The sequence below is a fragment of the Homo sapiens genome, chromosome 6, assembly GCF_000001405.40.
Source record: "Homo sapiens chromosome 6, GRCh38.p14 Primary Assembly".
NCBI classification, from domain to species: domain Eukaryota; kingdom Metazoa; phylum Chordata; class Mammalia; order Primates; family Hominidae; genus Homo; species Homo sapiens.
This window is the reverse complement of record NC_000006.12, coordinates 127,496,739-127,519,569: the sequence shown is the minus strand read 5'-3', so window position 1 is coordinate 127,519,569 and position 22,831 is coordinate 127,496,739. Positions and strand designations below refer to the sequence as shown.

Here is a 22,831-nt window from a genome sequence, read left to right as displayed (position 1 = left end):
AAGGCAAACCGTTCTGTAAAGGATCTCTGTGGGCCGATATTTATTTCGGTTTGCACTAAATTAGTCGTGGCTTCGCAAGAACCCTTTGTCTGTGGGACGGTGGGTCCCATCATGGCAACCATTATCTATTCGTGGAAACGACATCTGATGACTCCGCCCGGGCTGGGGGTGGGGAGGGAGCACCGCGTGTAGAGCTCGACTGAGAATTAAAGTGAGTGAACAAAGAGAACTCCCAGCAGCCGCCAGCCAGCTGCATCAGGAGATGTTAGTCACGCCCGGAAGGCTGTTCTAGTCCGCCTCCTTGGAAAAGAAGCTCAAGTAAATAATTGATGGAGAATGACCGAACCCAGGACAAAGCTTTGCAGGAAACCAGTGCATCCGTGTTCGAGCGGTTTTGGGATCCTCTGCCAAGTACGGGATAAGAGAATAGAGCAAGGAGTTTGAGCGCTGCTGCCAATCTTCCATCTCGGGCGTGGCTCTGGCCTTTTTGTCTCTTTATCCCGCCACTCCCCACCCCCGTCCCCCGTCCCCCTCCCCGCCTTCTTCTCTTTCCTCTTGAAAGTAACCTCTCTTTGGTTACTTCTACCCTATCGTCCCTTGCAATCCCGCCTTCTCTCCTGCCCAGTTCGGTGAGGTCAGCTCATGAACATCTCTGCACTTCCTGGGGAGCGTCTGGCCCAGCTTGGTACCTCGCGTGTTAGCCTGCTGAGAGCTGCAGCTCCAGCCCAGCCGCGGACCGCCGGGAAGTCACCCGCTCTGGGGGCAGCTGAATCTTGACGTTACCGCCATTGTTTGGAGAAATCGAGTGGGTGTGGAACTGCGGCGAGCGAGCCCAAAGTCATGCTCAGCCGGAAAGTCGCATACAATAATATGAAGTTGAACTTTCCTCGGCGCAGAAAGGCACAATAATAAACCCTGAGATCCCCGGAATATCAGAAGGAAAGTGCTGTTGATTTGTTCAGCTACTTGGAAACCTCGCCTCTGCTGAGAAGTGAGCAAGTTCTGGATTTCTAAAGGGTTGGGGATGAATGATGGGGTGGGTTAGCAGGCGGATAAAACTTGAGATTAAAAGTGTTGGTCTAAGCCGTGCAGGGGTTGGTTGGGTGATAATTTTCACCGGGAAAGCCTTGAAGAGATGCAGCATCTTGTCACTTTGTGGGAACCACGTGACAGCAGCCGGATACCTTTGATTGTGGAGCCCAGTTACTGGAACACAAGCTTTCGCCTGGGTTAATGCTGTCTGAGGGCTGAGTTTAAACATTGGCTTCTCAGCTCTGGAATTATTCTGCCTGATTAAAAACAAAAATAAGTTTGCATTGGCAATATAAGTTAGTTAGATAGCCCATGTTAGTGCCACCCATGATGATAAACTAGGCCAGACATTCTAGTAGTATCGCGACTGGGAGAGAAGATGTAGAAAACAAGTTGGTGGGCAATTTTCCCCCGATGTCTTCTTTGTTCACCTTTATATTTCAAAGTGAGTTGGAAGGAGATGCCAGAAACAGAAAGGGAGGTGGATTAGGAACCCTTCGGTAATATTTCTTTATAAAATGAGGAATTACTGCATGCTAAGTTGTGATGCTAACAATAGATGTTAACAAGAATAATGCAAGTAAAATAACTGGCAGTAAAGTAATCTGCTCTCTGTATAGAACAAATATTTTTAAAGGAGAAATTTATGCCTAGTCATGCCCCTTTCAGTGCTTTAGACAGAAATAATTTTAAGGAAAAGGCAACTAATTGACTAGCTGCCTGGATCCCTAGGGAGAGGAACCCATGAGGCAGTAACTTGCTATTTTTCAGATTAAAGAAGCTAGTGACGGATTTATCTTGGAAATACACATACTGGAAATTGATCTTACCACCATGAGGGAAGATGCACCAGCCTTCTGGGTTCTGTCTCAGAATTGCTATATAGGAGGAAATGGGCACTTTAAAAAGTACAACTTTTGCCTATGATATGCGATGTAAGAAGATGGCTAAGAATGAAAATATTTTCTATCTAGCAATTACACTTAAAACTAAAGTGATTCATAAGACTACAAAACTGGGTAAGCATAGGAAAATTCATCACCAGAAACTTAGGAAACTGCAGAACTGACCACAACTTTTCCAAATGTATTTTAAAAATTATTTCCCAAAAGGGAAAAAATACGTTTTTGGGTTGCTAATAACTAACCCATATAGACAATTCTTAATGCTATTATTTTCTTGAAACTGAGATTGATTTAAAGGCATTCATTATTTATATTTTCTTTTAGTTCTATTATAAAGGAAGTTGGGTGCATTTTCCCAAAAACAACATTAAGGGTTGGAGCTGCCTGGGGAAAGTGTCATTTATCCGTAGAAAATATTCTCTAGGAACCCTACATCATAACCCTTTTCCTCTAATTGAACTTGGGAATACTAATTAAATGAAAACTTTCTCCAGTAAACTAGGCTTTACATATGGATTTGATGGTAAGGAAAGCCAAAGTTGTAAAAGCAGAGTTGACAACTCTAATATATGGATATCTTTTCTTTCTGAAGCTTCTTTTCCACTTTATCCTCTTTTCTTTTATATCTCCCTTTCCATCAATTCCTGTCTGACTCTGTATCTCACCCTTTCCAAAGCCTGCTACCATGAGAATGTAAGGTTCAGCTGCTTTCAGATCCGTCATTTTGCTGAGGTGGAGTGAGATGGAGACAGCGCCACCCTGGGCAAAATGAGAATTGACAGCCCTCCATCCTATTCCTAAAGACAGCCCTGCATCCTATTCCTAAAGTCAAAGCTTCTATTAAGCGCCATCCAAATGGAGCAATATCACCCTTTGCTCTGCAAAAATTCAGACATGTTGTCTTCTTCTCTCCTTTTGTTTCTGTCCCAGCTTAGGAAGGAAGGTTGGCGGCGGTGAAGAGGGAAGAGGATGATCTAGTAATGGGCTCTTCCAAATCGCATCTGGTAGGTTCATAGCCATGAGTCAGCCACCAATCGGGGGCGCTGCCCCTGCCACAGCAGCAGCTTCTCCCGCCGCTGCAGCCACTGAGGCTCGTCTGCACCCGGAGGGCAGCAGCAGAAAGCAGCAGCGAGCTCAGTCACCCGCTAGACCGAGGGACAGTTCGCTGCGACAGACAATCGCGGCCACCCGGTCCCCAGTGGGGGCCGGCACTAAACTCAATTCTGTTCGGCAGCAGCAGCTGCAGCAGCAGCAACAGCAGGGTAACAAGACCGGGAGCCGCACGGGGCCGCCCGCCAGCATCCGAGGAGGCGGAGGTGGGGCCGAGAAGGCGACGCCCCTGGCGCCCAAAGGGGCCGCTCCGGGAGCTGTCCAGCCTGTGGCTGGTGCTGAAGCGGCCCCCGCCGCGACCCTGGCCGCTTTGGGCGGCAGGAGGCCCGGACCGCCCGAGGAGCCGCCTCGGGAGCTAGAGTCCGTGCCCTCGAAACTCGGGGAACCCCCTCCGCTCGGAGAAGGGGGAGGAGGGGGCGGGGAAGGAGGAGGAGCCGGCGGCGGCTCCGGGGAAAGGGAGGGGGGCGCTCCGCAGCCGCCGCCGCCCAGGGGCTGGCGAGGGAAAGGCGTACGCGCTCAGCAGAGGGGCGGCAGCGGCGGGGAGGGGGCCTCCCCTTCTCCATCCTCCTCTTCTGCGGGCAAAACCCCAGGAACCGGCAGCAGAAACTCCGGAAGCGGCGTTGCGGGGGGCGGCAGCGGTGGTGGAGGGAGCTACTGGAAAGAAGGATGTCTGCAGTCTGAGCTCATCCAGTTCCATCTCAAGAAGGAGCGGGCGGCAGCGGCGGCGGCCGCGGCTCAGATGCACGCTAAGAACGGCGGCGGCAGCAGTAGCCGCAGCTCCCCGGTGTCTGGCCCCCCTGCCGTTTGCGAGACCCTGGCCGTCGCCTCCGCCTCCCCAATGGCGGCGGCGGCGGAGGGCCCCCAGCAGAGCGCAGAGGGCAGCGCGAGCGGCGGGGGCATGCAGGCGGCAGCGCCCCCTTCGTCGCAGCCGCACCCGCAGCAGCTCCAAGAGCAGGAAGAAATGCAAGAGGAGATGGAGAAGCTGCGAGAGGAAAACGAGACTCTCAAGGTGAGGAGGGTGGGGGGACCCGGCTGGGGGATGGGAAGAGTGGGCCTGGGAGGATTAGGGCGTGTACCGGCAGGGATCAGAGGCTGCTAACCTGTTAGGGAGCCTTGAAGAGGGAGGAGAACAAGAAAGGAGGGAGGGGGTTTCCTAGGCCTTGCCGGAATTTGAATCTGCTCTCAGTAACGCGAGGTTTTCATTTAAATTCAAATCTGGGCCTCCGTTTCTCTAATTATAATGGTTTGTCACACTTCTTCCTGGAGAGAGGTAGAGTAAGAGAACGAGAGAGGGCCTAAAGTGGGCCTTTTTCCCCCAGTTTCCTCTTCTGTACTCAGCTCCTTGTCACTCCTGTCTCGTGGAGAGAGAGGGCAATTAAAGCTGAGAATTTGGAATTGGAATGGGGTGTGTACGGTGTGTGTCGGAAGGGCTGGAAGCGAGTTTGATTTTGACACGCGGCCTGTCACCGCCTCAGAACGAGATCGATGAGCTGAGAACCGAGATGGACGAGATGAGGGACACTTTCTTCGAGGAGGATGCCTGTCAACTGCAGGAAATGCGCCACGAGTTGGAGAGAGCCAACAAAAACTGCCGGATCCTGCAGTACCGCCTCCGCAAAGCCGAGCGCAAAAGGCTCCGCTACGCCCAGACCGGGGAAATCGACGGGGAGCTGTTGCGCAGCCTGGAGCAGGACCTCAAGGTCTGCGGCGCGGGGGCTCAATGGCGCGCGGCAGGGGCGGTGGGTGGGGACTTTGGCCAAGGGCTCTTTAGGCTGAGAAGTCTTCAGTGGCGACTGGCAAGGAGCCTTAGGGACACAGTTTCGTAGCGCTAACCACAAAATACTAGGGTCTCAGAAGGGAGAGAACTGGCAGGTGGCTCTAAAGAGTGCAGAGTGTGTGGAGGGCCTGGCAGCAAACGAGCTAAGTGTGCTCTCCTGGGAGCAAAGGTGGCTCTTCAAGAGGTGATGAGAAGAAGGCTCCCTTCTGGGCAGAAGCAAGGGCGTGGCAGAGCGCAGGCTCTAGCCTTTGATCTGCCCTTCAGTCTGTCTACTGAGAGAAGTCCGGTGGAATCGGGCAGTCAGGAGCTGCACTAAAAGGACTCCTCTGGGGGAGTTGAAACCCAAAATAGGAACTGCACTGGGAAGATACTAGAGTTAAGATTTCTTTCAGCAAGTGTCCACTCCACTTCCTTCTTCCAGGACTTCTTCCTTTCTGCACTTGCCACTTAGGTGACTCCCTGAGGGGGAAAAAAAAAACAGATAACCAACTTGCAGCCTGTTTGGTGTGAGGTAAATGAAATAATCTCATTTTTTTAAAGTGCAATTGTTCCTTCAGAATTTCTTCCAGTGGAAAAATCTCAACCTTGAAGTGCATTTTCTAGACAGGTGTGGTCTCCAGTTCAGTTTGACTGTAGGCAGATTCATTGACTATGCAAACTAGACATTAACTTAATCTCCTTGCACAACCAAATAAGTATACGTTCATTGCATTAACTTCATTGGGATTTAAAGATCACGTGTAATCTTTGTTTTAAAGAAAGCTATGTGTAAACATTTTATGAAAGACGTATTACTTTTTTTCTTAACTTTTGTCGAGTGCTTAGTATGTACTAAGCACTGTGGCAAACACTGTTACATACATTATTATTTCATTTAATTCTCAAGGGAAAAAAAATCCTACAATGTAGGGATTATTAAGGCACCATTTTATAGGTGCAGAAGCTACACCTTTTACAGAGGTTAAGTGCCCAGGCCTGGAAAACAGCTAATAGGTGCCAGGCTGACTCTCCACTCAGTCCAAAATCACAACCTGTGTCCTAAGCCTCTACACCAGTCTGCTCCACTTTTCTTCCAAACCCTAGAATTTCCAGGATAATCTCAAAATATGAGGCAAAAATGCACAGTCATTCAAAAAATAATAATCTCAAGGACTAAAACTTTCCTAAGATTAAGCAACTGGAATTCAAGCTATAAGATTGAAATTCAAGCCCAACCCACTACTTGTAAAAACTTCAATTTTTCATTCTTTAACATAGATTATAATGGAAACATCTACCTCATAGTTTTGCTGAAGTAAAGGAAATTTGTGAAATTTCTCTACATGTGATAAAATGCAATAGAACATTTTTTACCACAGAGTAGTGCAGAAGTTAAGGGAACAAAATTTAGAGCCAGATTGCCAGGCCTCTTAGCCCAGCAGTGTCTACTCATTAGCTGTGTGACCTTGACCTCTCTGAGACTCAGTTTCCTCATCTACAAAATAGAAGTAATAATAGTACCTATCCCATGGGATTTTTGTAGGGTTAAACGATTGATATATGTGAATGGCTTATATGTATACTTTGTGGAATAATGCCTGGCACATGGTAAACACCATATAAATATTGGGTTTTAATGCTTTCAATAGGAATACAATTTTAGCCCTTATTATATTGTCATTAATTATATTTTATTGTTACAAACACCTTAATTCAGGTTGCAAAGGATGTATCTGTGAGACTTCACCATGAATTAGAAAATGTGGAAGAAAAGAGAACAACAACAGAAGATGAAAATGAGAAACTGAGGCAACAGCTCATAGAAGTTGAAATTGCAAAGCAAGCTTTACAGAATGAACTGGAAAAAATGAAAGAGGTTAGTATTTGATTATTTCATGGTGTACTATGTATTTTTAGCCCTTTAAAAAAGAATCCCAAGGACTAATATGACTGTTAAAAAATTTCTTTTATGATTGCAGGACAATTTTTTACTCTTACCCAAATAGTAAAAAATACATGATTTCATACTAATAAATGAGTAGCAACGAAAGATTCTGACCTAAACACGGTATCTAACTCGACATGTACGAGCTTTGACTGATCTCTGTGTTTCATCTCTGTGTCTTCTAAATGTATGTTAATTAAATCAATTCCACAGCATATTAAATGCAAAGAGTGTCAAGCGTGTGAAGGAATGAGACTTGTGATAGTTGAGGGGAATAATTAGCCCCATGAGATTACTTACAATTGAGTTCATAGAACCATGAATTTTTAGGATGGAAAAGACTCTAAGGTCCATTTGATCTAATCCATTCATTGCTTGAAGTCTATATATAGCAAAGCCAGCCCTTCCCGCAATGTTCTAATGCTTGCAATATCACCAGTGACTATCCCTGAAGATCTTTTACAGCAGCCAATTGTATCATATCATAGCTCTGTTTAAAGATTTTCCTTTTTTTTTTACATGATATATATTTAATTGCAACTTTAGCCAGCTCATCTTAGTTATACCCTTTAGGGTAGAAGAGTAAAGTTCTCCTTCATGTCAGCTATTTGAAGATTCCAAATGTGTTTACCATGAGTCTTCTAAAAGAACAGAATCAAGGTAAAGAAATGGAGGAGAAAAGAGACAGAAACACCTATCAAGAAATGATTAGCTTTAAGATAAACAGCAATTTAATTAGAATTAAATTATACTTCTCTTTGATAGCTACCTGAACATGTACAATGCAACTTGTGAAAACTACCATTGAGAAATAGCAAATGCACAAGTTGTCTTCCGAAAAATTTCCTCTGCTTGGATAAGCAGAATTCTAAAGAAAATTCTAATCTTTCCACAGACTGAGGTATTTACCCACCTGTCATTGCTGTGCTTATCTCAAAATGGTACAAAAATATAATGCAAATAACAGTGCAATTATCAACAGTCTGATTAAGAATATGTCTTAGGACTTTGAAGAATACAGTTTCAGTGGAGTAAACTATTTTTTGTGATCTGTTTACTTATATTATCCTGACTTTAAACATTTTTTAGCATAAGAAAATAGTAAAAAAATATTTTAATGATATAAAATCCTTGGCTACTAGCTAGGAGTCGCTCTGTGCTATAGTAGAAAAATATGGAGACTGGGAGCTGTGTGATCTATTTTCACCAGTAACTGGGTGACTTTAAAAGGCCTGTAACTTGTACTTGTCTACTTTTATCCAGTTCTACACTGAAAGATTGTTTTTGATGATTCTCAACATCTTTTTCTGGTATGTAAGACTTTCCTCATGAAATTCAGAACATTGCCATTTAAGGAATGGCAAAGATTTTTTCCCTAAAGTTAAAAGATCAAATATGAAATTAATATAGTTATAAGTATATATTTCTTCAACAATAATGTACAGTTGAAGGTATGTCAAAAATTGACTTTCATTTATAGAAAAAAAAGTAAAGTAGGTAACTGTATTAGTTCTCTAGGGTAGCTGTAACAAAATACCAAAAACTGGGTGGCTTAAACAGCAAAAAGATGTATTATCTCACAGTTCTGCAGTCTAGAAGTCTGGAATCAAGGTGTTAGTAGGGCTGGTTCTTTCTGAGGGCTGCGAAGGCAGGATATGTTCCAGGCCTCCCTCTATGGCTTGTAGATGGCCATCTTCATGGTCACATGGCATTCTCCCTGTAGCTCTCTGTTTCCAGACTTCCCCTTTTTGTAAGGATATCAGTGATATTAGATTAGGGTCTTCCCTAAGGACCTCATTTGACCTGCCTGGGCTCAAGCTATTCTCCCACCTCTGCCTCCCTAAGAGCTGGGATTACAGGCATGAGCCATCACACCCGCCCCTCATTTTAATTTGATTACCTCTGTAAATACCTCTGTCTCCAAATGAGATTTCATCCTGAGCAGCTGGGGGTTAGGACTTCAATATATGAATTTGACAGGGAGGGTAGAAGGAGAGAACAGAATTCAACCCACAGCAGCAACAATCTAATAGCTTCCTGTGAGCAAGCAAAGAGAATGTTCATTGTCAGTCTCATAGGCGCCATTCCCTATTCATACGTTACTTGTGCTCTCTCATATTCCTTGAGTGTTTTAAATTGTAAACATTCAAGTACAAACAAACTTCGCTTGATTACCAGAGATAAAAAAGAAATGCCTTGTAATTTGGTGTCATGTGAATGTTTTAAGTGGATACCTGAAAAATTGTACTTAAGAATGGCATAAGAGCTTTCTGATTTTCATTTTACTTCCATTAAAGGGGAAAATATGCATAGACTGTCTATCCATTAGCCAGAACAATGGGACCTCTCCCATCTTAAAATAAAAGCCAAAATAATCTGGCCACCAGGAAGAAAGGGTAGAGCTTGGGAATGTCCTCAGGAGATTGTAAAGATGCGTTTCCTTGATTCTTTTGCTCACACTCTTCCCTGTGACTATTTCCTCCTTCAGGGCTCTATTTCTGGGTTGGGAGAATGCTGTTCCAGCACCAAGCAGTGTGGGTATATATATTCATACCAAAGAGGCAATTTGATTGTCCTTGGAGTTACAAAAAACCAAATGTCAATGCCTGATTAGGGAATACAACAATAAAAGTAAAAATAATTTAGGAGTATATATGCAGAACATCAGCCTTTAAAGTAATCTTTTATTAGGAAAATGGCATTCACGATTTGAGAAGATGGAAGGTGGTGGGGAACAGAAATAAAAAAAAACAGGAAGGGAGAAAGAGTGGAAGATAAACATCTGGAGGATACTAAATATAATAAAGGAAAACCAAATAATATTCTGGTAGGAGTTCTCTATAATTATCCATTTGAGGTTGACCTTCATAGTGTTCAGAAAAATGTCAGAAATAGAAAAAGTAGTTTAACAATATGTTTAGAAATCAGAAATGTTTCATTCAGATAAGATTTTTGCAATGGTAATTTTATGATGCTCTAAAACGGTAAATATTAAAACTGAGCTGCAATTATAACTGGCTTACTCTGTGGATAAGGGTTGTAAGCTACTCCTTGGATGACTTGCAACAACTTCAGTTAACCATCTGCTTCATTGGTTGTAAAATGAAAACATATTCAAGCCCTTGGTGAGTGTTAACCAACTTGGTTAATTTGGTGAGTGATGAATTGTCATCCCTTCGTGTCATTTTTTTAAAGGAGAAAAGTAGAACCAGGCCAAGCTCTCCATTAAGAGAAAAGACACTAGTTATAGAGTAAAGTCAAAAAATCATAGAATATACTCTAGAGAAGCAATCCTCCAATTCCAAGTTTTTAGATCTTTACATGGAGTCATATAGATGTTGAACAGCACCGCTGGGACCAATAGACCATCTGCTACAGTTTAGAACTGTTTGCTAAAAATTTAATTAGCTTCAAGGGTATTGACCAATTGCTCTCAGGACTGGTGGCTGCACAAGGTCTTGTGCACCTCCTCACATCTATCTGTCTATCTTCTCCCCCTGAGAGGATGGAGTAGGCACCTGGGAGTAAGAAGAATTGAGTAGAGGCAGGATAGAGGTAATTAGCTGCATCTATTGCATCTCATTGCTTGTATTGAAATAGCTGATGTTTGACCAACTGCAAACAAGAGGGACCTCTTCGAATGCTGCCTTCGAATCTTAATAGCATTGTCATCCCAATTATAAAACACTGATTGCTACCAGCACTATGCTTTCTTGCTGTAGAAGAATGCCTTTACCTTTCTGTAACCTGTAGAAAATGGCATTCTATCTTTCAACATTGCAAATGATCAAAGAGACAGAGGTTTTTAATTAAAGTTATGTCATGTAAACAACAACTAGCTCTTTGAACGTCATACACAAATAGGATAAAGTGAGGTTGTGGAGGAGGCTTTGGACAATGCATTCTCTGTGAGAGGTGAGTTTTTGCTCCAGTTAAATTGAGGATCACTGCCTGTCATGAGGTTCCGCTGCTGTAGCAGTGAACTTTATTTTCAAAGCTTTGAAACTCCTTGTAATCATCAAGAGAAGAAGGGTCATCTGATGTCACTTTTAAGGTCTGGTGCTTGTTGAAGTGTTGATAAGAGACATTTGAGCAAAGAATTCACCAACAGAAGAGCAAAGAAAAAGAGTAAGATGATGATGATGAGAACTGTTTATCAGATCTTTCTTCTTTTCAGAATCTGTACTCCTTATATTGTCTCATACCTCACCCATACACAAGATTCTTAAAAGAAAATAATTTTCTTAACTTTTCCCAGTCTTTGCTCCAGAGGGTTCTTAACTGGCCTACTGAAATAGCACCATCTATCTTGGACTTTTATTTTTTGTGCACTTGGTATAATAGATCTTATCTATTACAATGAACTTTCATTCTAGAACACAAAAATAATTAGTACTATAAATTTTAACAGCGTCTCTGGTTTTCTTGTTTTTTAGAGTCCCTTGAGAGTATATCTGTATACCCAGATTCTCTTTACAAATGGAACACTTTAATAGGCAAATTCTGTACTATATATTTACAATTACCTATTTATTTTCTTATATAAAATAAAGAACTGATCATAGCTACACTTGGTTCTAATAGGGAATGTTTACCTGAATAATAAAATGTGAAAAAGAAATGTTGAGTGATAAATCAGCGAAGAAGCATTCCAAGAGACGGTTTAATGGGGCATTTCTTGCAAATATTTTCCCCTGGTTCTGGTAGTTTACTTAACATTTTAAAATAAAACAGTAGTCATTGATATTTTAAAATGAAATGGCCACACATATATTTAGATGCATCAATTACACATTATTATTTTAGTCATATCTTCTCAGAGCCAATAGTTTGTCGAATAACATGGGCAGGAATAAGAGACTAAATTTAAAAAAAGGAAGAGTGTGTCAGGTAAGCATAGAAAAGCTTTTCTTCCAGGAAGTTGCCATGTGTTATGAATGCATTTTTTTTCTTTTTTTTTTTTTTTTTTTTTTTTTTTTGAGACATAGTCTTGCTCTGTCGCCCAGGCTGGAGTGCAGTGGTGCAATCTCGGCTCACTGCAAGCTCCACTTCCTGGGTTCTCGCCATTCTACTGCCTCAGCCTCCCCAGCAGCTGGGACTACTGGCACACGCCACTATGCCCGGCTAATTTTTTGTATTTTTAGTAGAGACAGGGTTTCACTGTGTTAGCCAGGATGGTCTCAATCTCCTGATCTTGTGATCCGCCCACCTCGGCCTATGAATGCATTTTTAAAGATGTATTTATGTAGGCATTATAAATTTTATTGGATTTTTAAATGAAATTAGATATACAGTTCCATGTACTCTGAAGTGATCTTTAATATTCAGTCACATGTAAATGACTGTTTTACCCAGATGCCAAGCCCCCATTAGAAGCAAAGTAGTACACAGATCAGAAATTTGTGGATTATTTTTGTGCAATATAATGAGCTTTTATTATAAATTTCAAATTTCTTATTTACATAAAAATACAGGACAGCATGGCACACCCTCATGTTGTTGATCAGATTCCAGTTCCTTTCTTGGCTGAAATTTTGCACTTCATATTATTGAAACTATAAAGTGCTGAACAAATACAGGTTTTTACCTGATTAAGCATCTCCTGTTGAGTACATTCCCAGTTCCCATCTAAAATATCTATTGATTTTGATGTATGCAACGTAATGGGCTTCCTAAAAATTGTTTAATACATGTATATTTAAATTTTTGTTGCTTTTGCTGATGAAGCATATTCATAAGAGTTAAGTCTCCAACCCTGAACTCTTTGAGGCCAGTTTAACTTGGTCCAAGGGCTCAAGGCTGAACTTTGAGTGACTCAGCTCTGTGAGATTAGCAATTTATCCATGTTAAGTATCTCCATGGAAGTATATTACTTATATAGTTACTGAAGTGTTGTTTACTTCACTGACTTCTGTATCCAACCTACCTTAAAAGGAGATTTGAGGCCGGGCGTGGTGGCTCATGCCTGTAATCCCAGCACTTTGGGAGGCCGAGGTGGGTGGATCATGATGTCAGGAGATCGAGACCACCCTGGCTAACACGGTGAAACCCCGTTCTACTAAAAATACAAAAAATTAGCCGGGCGTGGTCGTGGGCGCCTGTAGTCCCAGCTACTCGGGAGGCTGAGGCAGGAGAATGTTATGAACCCGAGAGGCGGAGCTTGCAGTGAGCCAAGATCGCCACTGCACTCCAGCCTGAGGGACAGAGCAAGTCTCCGTATCAAACAAAATAAATAAAGACGGGGGAGGGGGAATTTGAAATGGTTCACAATAAAGCCATAAAACTATTGAAATAAGGGTTTTAAAATTAGGTAAAAACGCTGGGAAGGTGAAGAAAAACTTAATCCAAGGGATGTACATTGTTATGAAACAGCTCTGAGTTTAGTATCACTCAAGGCTGGGGACCAAATATTGAAAGAATTCATTTCCTAGCTGTGACCAGATACAGAAGCAACACTGAGTTTTATGTGAGGCCTCTGGGGCAATCATGAAGAAAATCCATATAGTACAACAAAAAGTTGCAGTTATACACAGACTCTACATGCAACCATCATGGATAAATGAGCCTTCTAAATACTTGACAGGTCTTTTCTATAGAATCTACAAATTATGAGTTAAAATTTTACAGAAAAGATAATAGTCATTTTTTCATTAGCCATGAATTTGAGTGTGATTGTTAGAAAGTACACGAATAATGGAGTCTAGAAACTAGCTTTGAGACCTCATCTGTCATTCCCTATGACCTTGAGCAAATAACTTAAAATTTATAGGCCTCAGTTTTTAATATGTAAATGCAGAAATTAAACTGAGTGCTCTCGAAGCTTCCTATAAATATATCATTTTCTACTTTGTCAGTTATCCATCTCTGTTCTCCCTGAAAGTTTCATAGGTATAAAATTCAGTTTCATTACTATTATTTAAATACTATAATTATTTTTTCATATAGTCAGTTAACAGCTATTTCTTGAATGCCTGGTGTAGTGTGGCCATGTAGATAACACAGAGGATATAAAGATATAGATGGCAAAGCGTTGCATTAAACTCCAAGTTTGCACCCACTGAAGGTCCCTACTGAAAGTTTTTTTCCAGATACACATTTTTTAATTTAAAAAAATGGACATTTGAGGAACATGTATCTTTTTTATTTTTTAACTTTTAAGTTTAGGGGTACAAGTGTAAGTTTGTTACATAGGTAAACTTGTGTCATGGGGGTTTGTTGTACAGATTATTTCATCACTCAGGTATTAAGCCTATTGCCTATTAATTATTTTTCCTGATCCTCTCCCTCCTCCCACGCTCCATCCTCTGAAAAACCCCAATGAGTGTTGTTCCCCTCCATGTGTCAAGGTATTCTCATCATTTAGCGCCCACTTGTAAGTGAGAACACGCAGTATTTGGTTTTCTGTTCCTGTGTTAGTTTGCTAAGGATAATGGCCTCCAGCTCCATTCATGTCCCTGCAAAGGATGTGATCTGTTTCTTTTTATGGCTGCATACTATTCCATGGTGAATATGTACCACATTCTTCTTTATCCAGTCTATAATTGATAGGCATTTAGGTTGATTCCATTTTTAACACAGGAAGTAAGACCCACAGTTATCTCGCCATTGCTACTCAGTACTCAGGGCCTGTGTTAGCGCTGTAGAAATTACAACTGAAGACCTGATATGTGGGAATGAGTACAAGTTGAAACTCCCTAATAATCCAGGCATGCCTTTTGATGTGGCCTTGGCTCTACACTCTAGGAAGCTACAAAGACCATGTGATAACAAAAGAATTCATCATCTATTCCAGTAAATAAACCAGGGTGTTGAATGATGGCCCCTAAACATTCTAATTTCTGCAGAAAATCTTGAGGTGGGGTTTTTAACCATATGATTCTAAGAATGAAATCTGCCCCTGCTTCCTGCCCCTGGAAGGCTGCCAGGCTCTCACCGCAGAATGTGGCCATTAACCAGCACTGATCCTCAGCTAAACATCCAAATGTTTGTATTTTGTTATTATTGAAATTTATTTTTATTCCCTATGACTTCTCTGATGTTTTTTGAAGTTGCAAGTCTTTATGTTTTCAAGAGCATAATAAAAAATTTTTTGAGATTACTTGGCCTTTGTATGTGTGACAGACATCAACCTCATGCAGAAAAGACCTCAATTAACCTCAATCCCTTCCTTAAGAGATTCTCAGGGCACAGTTGTAACTTAAATAGTCCATGTGGTGCGTTCAGGCTTTGGGACAGTAATAAACGACACTATTCTCCACCACTCCCCTCTACCATGGCCACCCTTGGCTGCCTGTGAATGGCCTTGCTCCCAGTAGTGGCAGAAATAGCATCTTATTTCTGTCTCAGCCTTTTACATAAAAATAAAAACATATAAACTTGGACCTGACTTTCACTTAGCAACTATTTATGAAGCATATATATAATATGTATAAGGAATAACAGATAATGTCACCAGGTGGATAGTCATTGCCCACAAGTTAATTATTTTCTAATAGGAAAGAGCCTCATACAGGTTGTATTTTGACTATAGCTTCACATACACATTACTATACCAAATACTTCTCATGAAGTCCTCACAAGACCAACCAGACTGTGAGTTCTAAGAGGACAAGAGCCGCTCCTGTGTTGGTCCCTGTGGCACCCTCAGCATCTAGTTCAGTACCCAGCATATAGGCAATGAGACCACCTTCTTCTGTAATATTACAATAATTATTTTTTACTTGATTTGTATATAACTTTTTCCTGCTGAAACTGTTTACAGTTTCCTGACTGTAAACTCCTTGAGACTAAAGACTGAGTCCATGTTATTAAGACCAAGTCCATGTTATTAACTGTGTCCACAACAACCAAAACAGAACAGGGCACAAAGTTGATAAACAATAAGTAATTTCAAAAAGAGAATAAATGGTAATTAAGCAAGGTGTTTCATGCCCGATTTTTGCAGAGAAAAAAAAAGTGGCTGTGAACCAGGGCTCTTTCCATGGTGCTTAGTGCAGTGCAAACATGATGAAAAGGAAGTAGATGGGTAACTCCAGCCTCACCCCACTTCCAGAAATAGAGATCTCCCAAGAACTTACTACCTTCTAGAAACTTCTAGCACTCTACTTTGCATCTCTCAAATTCCATTTATCCCCCAGAAACAACAGGTCTTCCCTGAAACAAGGTACAATTGGATTCTTGAGAAAGGGAATGGGGACAGGAACCCAAGAACAAGAAGACAACTCTGACATCTTGGGCATCAGCTCTGCAGTTTAACTTCTTTGTGCTTTGGTGAAAAAATGTAAAATGAGGGTTTAATGAATGAGAGAAGACTGCAGATCCTGTCACTCCCAAAGACTATCCATTGGAATTTGCTTGATATCTTCAATGTCTGAGACAATTGATTTAGCAGCTAATTTGGCTGGAGAGATATGGAAAATTACCCCAGGGCTGCAGTGGCTCAGTAGCCACCAATGTTGAGTGCTAATTACATGCCAGTGGCTGAACTAGATAGTTTATGTATAATTATGTTGTTAATAGCCTCATTTTAGAGATGAAGACTCTAAGGCTCAGAGAGGTTAATGTCACCAGTTAGCAGGCCAGGCCCACACCCAAGTCTGTCTGCCTCCAACGCGTGGTCTGCAGTCATCAGTGCTGCGTGGCCTCACTGCAAGGACTCAGGCTGCCCCTCCACTGCCACTTTCATGTTCTTCCTGACCCACAAATAACCTACCCCCTTTAGGGAACCTCAATACTCCTAGAATCTATAATCCTCTATAATACTCTAGGGTCTATCAGAGAATGTTTTGAGTAAACACTGAGAGAAGACTTCCAAGGTGGCTGTAGGGAAAAATCTATTTTATCTTACAGAAAGGGAATCTTTGGAGCAAAAACTAGGAACATAGGACTAGAAAAGTGTTTTCAGGTCTGTCAATTCTATCTCACTTTTTACAAATGTAATAGCTATGTTACTTCAGATAAGTCACGTAATAGCTGACTCTCAATTTAATCACCTTTTAAAGGAAAATAAATATTTTTCCTATCCTGTCTATTCACAAGGGTAACATGAGATAACATATGTGAAGGTGCTTTATAAATTGTATGGTACCATATCAGATGTTACTGTTATTAACATCACGTAGCTGTAAGTTAGCTAATAAAGACAATTCCTGGGAAGAATTTTGAAGTCTATCAGAATAAAATTTTAGAGCTGTCTAGGACCCCAACTGTTTCTACAGAACTTTGAAATGCTTTTTCTTTCCATTTTTTCATGAATGTCTATTACTCTCTGAAATTCCCCTTTAAATCTCACTTCATTATAAAGCCATGCTAACTTCTTCCATCTGACCCATTGCCTCTTCCACTAGGCCTGTATTTAGTCCTTACTGCTTCAGGATCCACTAGCTCACATTTGCAAATGTTTTGATGGACAGGGAGATAATCTGGCTGCATTACCTGCCACTGCATTCATCAACAGGGCAACAGGGCTGACTATGTTGATTTGTCCTGTTAAATATCTCTCTTCTACCTTACTGCTAGATAAATATGCTTCCTAAAAAGAAACAGAGTAGCAGAGAAAGAAGAACTGTTCTTTGATCAAAAGTGGTCAAGCACAAGATAATTTAGTTTGCATTGTAGTTTTTATTGACTCCACAGCTAAATTTAATGTTCTCTGAATTTAAGAATTATATTTCTATTTAATTCACTTACACACACAGTGATACATATAAAAAATATCAATAAATGTTTGGGCAAGAGAAGAGGTTTAGAAAGATAAGATTGCTGTCATAGGAGCTCATCTTTAGCTTCTTAAATTATAATTTACTCAGTTCTTTTGTTTTCAAATACTTGTGATGTTACTTTTGAGTAAATATAATGTGCAATTTTACTGTATATTGGAAAGTATTTTCCAAATTAAAATTTCAGTTATATGTTGAAGACCTTAGACCTGACTGAATTTGAATGGAAATACAATTATTTATTTGATGCTTCTGTCCTAATTCCATTTTTTACATTTCAGGATCAGTTAAATTGATCTTTATCCAGATGGTAAATGACATTTGAAGATGACATTTGAAGTTGTCATTTAGCCTTTCCTAACATTTTCCATTTTATACTTATATATTTCACTTAATTGGAGCATTTATATTCAGCATGATTCAACTTAGAAGCACTTAAAATTAAAAATTCAGAATATTCTACATTGATCTGCTGGCTAGCTCAGTTATTTAAATTTGTGTAGCCAATTAATCATGGGGGTAACTGGTTAATACAATTAACTGTTAATTTTTTCTTTCCTTCACAAAGTAACAGTTTCTTACCATTACATTAGCCAAGAACCTTGAATAATAGTAGAAATAATTAGACCAATTGCTTATTTATTCTGATATATAATGAGCAACTAATATGTTAGTATGTAGTTGTATCCACTGCCTCTTTGCATATGAAGAAAAGAAAAATTTTCATAGAACTTTATCAAGTGATCCAACTGTGTGTATTTAGGAATATCTGTTATATGGGAAGTATTATCTATCAAGGGTAAAATGTAGCTATTGGGTTTATTCATTTAGCGGTATGGCTAAGTTTAAATTAGAATAATTATGTTCTAGAGTCGTTCTGAAAGTAGTTATCCTATTTTTAATTCTACTAGTGTTAATTTTATTCTGTAATACATGTACAATTCTCAGTTTTCCCAATTGCCAAAATCAAAAATGAAACTTAAAAAATTCTTGGCCAGGAGCAGTGGCTCATGCCTGTAATCCCAACACTTTGGGAGGCCAAGGCAGGCAGATCACGAGGTCAGGAGATCAAGACCATCCTGGCTAACATGGTGAAACCCCGTCTCTACTAAAAATACAAAAAAATTAGCCAGGCGTGATGGCACGTGCCTGTAATCCCAGCTACTTGGGAGGCTGAGGCAGGAGAATTGCCTGAACCCAGGAGGTGGAGGTTGCAGTGAGCTGAGATCGCACCACTGCACTCCAGCCTGGCAACAGAGTGAGATCCCATCTCAAAAAAAAAAATTCTTTCAGTTAGTTTAACTCCTTACACTACAGCCTGTTCTTTGTTAATTTAATGTGAGATTATAGATAAAATTATTACTACTAAATGTTTCATTGTTATAGTATATACTTTCCATTTTAAAGCCTGTGGGAAGGTGAAAGGTGGGAGAAGGAGAAGATCAGGAAAAATAACTAATGGACACTAGGCTTAATACCTAGGTGATAAAATAATCTGTACAACAAACTGCCATGACACAAGTTTACCTATATAACAAACCTGCATATGTACAACTGAACTTAAAATAAAAGTTAAAAAAAATTATAGGTATTCAAACAATTCAATGCTATCAATGATTTTAAACCACAGCTTCTACAATTCTGAGATCATAGTTTTAACTAATCTTTCATTGATTAGATAATACTTGACATGATTTTTCAGGAAAAAGCTTATAAATATTTTCTGAACCTTTGTATTTTTGAAAATAGCCTTTGGTTGATTTCACACAGGAATGGCAGAATGAAATTATTGAGTCAAAAAAATATGTCTTATTATATATTAGCCCTGGCATTCATTTTGCAATGGAGAAGTATGAGATCAGTCTGACTTTTATTCCTTTGTAGGTCAGATTATTTTCTCTCTACGTATTTATGGATATTTTTCTTCATCATTTATATTAATCTGAGTTCCCCAGTGGGAAACAGAATTCACCCAAGATGGTTCAAATGAAAAGAGATTATTACTCACAGCAGTATGGGCAGGATTATGGGAACAAACCAGGGCTGGCAAGGCATTCAGAAAAATCTTGCTACTCTTGGAAACCATCACCACCCCGAGAAATGAAGACATAGCTGAGGAAATAGTATTATAGAGGCCAGTGAAAACTAACAGTTGAGTAGGGTCCTCCCAGTGGGATCTATCGCCTGAAGGGGACTTAGCTACTGCCTAAAAATGTGGTGTTGTAAAAGAAAGGTAGTGAGGGGAAATACTCTGAACCATCTCTTCTCCCACCTTCCACCTGTCAGCGTGCCTGCCAGTGCCTTCTATTGGCCAAACCCAAGGAGGAGTCAACCGATGGGGAGAAAGCCTGGGTAAAGTTTGCAGAAGTCAGCCTCCTGGAGCACAGAGCAGGGCAGAGAAGGAGCAAGCATGAATCTGGGTAGCTAAAGAAGAATACCCGGTTCAGAAATACCACCTGGGCATATCTAGGTGATGGTCTTTGTTTATAACATGTCCAGAACATACAGACCTTTTACTCTGAAAATTAACACTTGTGTGTTCATTATTTCAGAAAAGCTTTCTTGTATTATAGATTTGATAATCATATGTGCTCTATTTTTTCTTCTTAGCATTTTCTTTGCTTTGTATTCCTTACTATCTTCTCATCCTTTCATTTTTTAATCCTTTTCCTCTGTGGCCTTAGATAATTTTCAAGTTTGTTTTCAATATTATGGAATCAATTTTCTGCGATGTCAGTTGTGCTCCTTAAAGACATCAGTGCAAAATTTCATTCTTGTGTTGAATTTTAAAGACCTTTTTGAGTTTTCTTATTCCTGACAGCTTCCTAGTCTTCAGAGCTTCATCTCCCGTTATGACCTTCTTGTTAGTTCATAGAGGCCATCTTTGTTATCTTTTTAAGGGTACAATATTTTCTAACGCTATCTTCTGTTTCTCATAGCAAATAGTTTTCAGAAATATTTGGGGGATCTTTTTCTTTTTTTAGCTGACTTTTTAAATCATCCTGATGCATTTTACTTTTACAGCTTTGAGGTTTGATTTACATACCATAAATTCACTTAATTGTACAATTTAATGGTTTTTAGTAAATATGCAAAGTTATGCAACCATCACCATAACCCAAATTTAGGACATTTCCATCACTTCATAAAGATCTCTCATGTCCATTTGCAGTCACCTTCTGTTCTTAGCTCTAACCCCAATCAGCCACTAATCTATTTTTGGAATCTATAGCTTTTATTTTCTGAATATCTCATATAATTACAATAATAAAATATGTAACCTTTTGTACCTGGCTTCTTTCACCTAGACCAGTGTTTTTGAGGTTCATCCCTGTAGCGTGTATCAGTAATTCATTTCTTTTTATTTCCAAATAATATTCAATTGTATGTATATACCACATTTTGTTTATTCATTCAGCAGTTTTTGGACAGTGGATACTTTATAATTTTATAAATAATGCTGTTATAAACACACACATGCAAATTTTCGTGTGGATATATGTTTTCATTTCTCTTGGGTAGATAGCTAAGATTAGAATTTGGGGGTCATATGGTGAATTTGTGTTTAACTTTTTAAAGAAACTGCCAACTGTTTTCCAAAGGGGCTGCACCATTTTACATTCCCACCAGCAACGGATGAGGATTCTAATTTATCCACACCCTTTTCAATACTGATTGTATATCTTTTTTATTATTGTTAGTCCACTGGGCATCAAATGATACATCATTGTGGTTTTCATTTGTTTCCCTAATGATGTTGAGTATCTTTTCATCTGCTTATTGTGCACTCATATATCTTATTTTGTGCAATATCTATTCACAATGTTTAGCCTATTTTTAATTGGGTTTTCTACTTATTTTTGAGTTCCAATTTAAGCTCTATCTGTATTTTGGATATAAGTCTTTTATCAGATATATGATTTGAAAATGTTTTCTTCTTAGGCTTGTCTTTTTAGTTTCTTAATAGTGTCTTTTGAAGTGCAAAAGTTTGCAATTTTGATCAAGTCCAATTTGTATTCTTTTGTTTCATCACTTATGTTTTTGGTGTCGCATCTAAGAAATCTTTGCCTAACCTACAGGAAGATTCACTTCAATGTTTTTTCTTTTCCTAAGACTTTCATGGATTTAGCTCTTACATTCAGATCTACAATCCAATTTGAGTCATTTTCATGTATAGAGTGAGTCGGGAGTCTAAATTCATCTTTTTGCATGTGGATCTCGAATTGCCCCAGCACCGTTTGTCGAAAAGACTATCCTTTCCTCATTGATTTGTTTTGACTCAGTGCAATTTTATCTTCTTTTTTCCTTTTTCTTTCTCTTAGAAAATATCATCATTGAATGTCAAACATTCTTTATACATTCAATGTTGGCTTTAGATACTCACTGTGTGGCTTTTTTTCTTAGTTCCTCTCACTCTCCATTTGCTATTAGTTGCCCCTTCTCAGAGCCAAGATATAGAACAGCTTGACGTGCACAATTCCAGCTCAATTACTGATGATAGTAAACATTCAGCTAGTTCTGGCCTGTTTGAAGTAGGAAAGGCTGCTACTGCAGCACTCAGGTACACTGACTCTGAGGGAGACATATCTTAGAAATATTTGAAGAAGTTTGTAGTTGTTCTTTAACTACCTTTAATATATGAAAAAGAATAAACCTCAACATGGGTGCTCCCAAGTCTTTTCTACCTATGTTTCTTCCCCTGAATGTTTGGATAAGGAAAGAATATATCTCATAATTGATTGCACAGCTAGTCACCTAGCTCTTTTTCCTTGCCTAATTCCTACTTGTTTGAATATTTAACCACCAGAGAGCTACAGTATTGTCTGTGCAGTACTTATGCATGTACTGGGGAAAATATGATTGGGGTGCAGAAGTTTTAGCTACCTGATTGATTTTTTAAATAACTTTGTTGAATCATATTTTACATGTAATATAATTAATCCATTTCCAATGGTACAATTCAGTGATTTTGTAGTAAACTTCCACGTTGTGCAACAATGACTATAAATCAGTTTTAGTACATTTTAATTACCATAGTAGTGAGATTCTTCATGCCCATTTATTGTTAATTCCTATTTCTTCCTTCCCTTTGACTACCTCCAGGCAATTACTAATCTACTTCTTTTATCTATGAATTTACCTTTTCTAGACATTTCATATAAATGAAATTGCACTGTATGTGGTCTCTTAGGTTTGGCTTCTTTTACTTAACATAGTGTTTTTCAAGTTCATCTGTGTCATACCATGTATCCGTAGTTCATTCCTTTTGTAAATTGCCAAATAATACCCCATTGGGCAAATATCATATTTTATCTATTCATTCATCTGTGTCATATCATGTATCCATAGTTCATTCCTTTTGTAA

General features: G+C 39.7%; 1 protein-coding gene and 2 long non-coding RNA genes across 3 annotated transcripts in view, besides 2 other annotated features; 2 read left to right on the top strand and 1 right to left on the bottom strand.

Moving 5' to 3' along the window:
• The first annotated feature begins 234 nt into the window (after positions 1-234).
• Positions 235-22,831, top strand: part of SOGA3-KIAA0408 (SOGA3-KIAA0408 readthrough) — an 80,930-nt gene continuing 58,333 nt past the window's right edge. The window contains exons 1-4 of the long non-coding RNA NR_174482.1: positions 235-991; positions 2,868-4,056; positions 4,523-4,747; positions 6,521-6,679. This is a non-coding gene — a long non-coding RNA (SOGA3-KIAA0408 readthrough). The remainder of the gene's footprint in view (positions 992-2,867; positions 4,057-4,522; positions 4,748-6,520; positions 6,680-22,831) is intronic.
• Positions 235-22,831, top strand: part of MTCL3 (MTCL family member 3) — a 46,362-nt gene continuing 23,765 nt past the window's right edge. The window contains exons 1-4 of the mRNA NM_001400265.1: positions 235-991; positions 2,868-4,056; positions 4,523-4,747; positions 6,521-6,679. Coding sequence (NP_001387194.1) covers positions 2,956-4,056; positions 4,523-4,747; positions 6,521-6,679 — 1,485 coding nt within the window. The 5' untranslated portion in view covers positions 235-991; positions 2,868-2,955. The remainder of the gene's footprint in view (positions 992-2,867; positions 4,057-4,522; positions 4,748-6,520; positions 6,680-22,831) is intronic.
• Positions 3,322-3,551: a silencer, noted in NCBI's record as "silent region_17529". NCBI's record gives its function as "represses an Ori minimal core promoter by ATAC-STARR-seq in GM12878 lymphoblastoid cells {active_cell/tissue: GM12878}" and the evidence as "EXISTENCE:reporter gene assay evidence [ECO:0000049][PMID:35858748]".
• Positions 4,239-4,763: an enhancer, noted in NCBI's record as "H3K4me1 hESC enhancer chr6:127835952-127836476 (GRCh37/hg19 assembly coordinates)". NCBI's record gives its function as "activates a minimal SCP1, AML or CMV promoter by ChIP-STARR-seq in naive H9 embryonic stem cells {active_cell/tissue: H9 hESC(naive)}" and the evidence as "EXISTENCE:reporter gene assay evidence [ECO:0000049][PMID:30033119]".
• LOC107986642 (uncharacterized) lies at positions 4,270-9,499 on the bottom strand. The gene is made up of 2 exons (XR_001744337.2): positions 8,330-9,499; positions 4,270-5,283 (listed from the first exon to the last, which is right to left on the bottom strand). It is a non-coding gene; the product is annotated as an uncharacterized LOC107986642 (long non-coding RNA).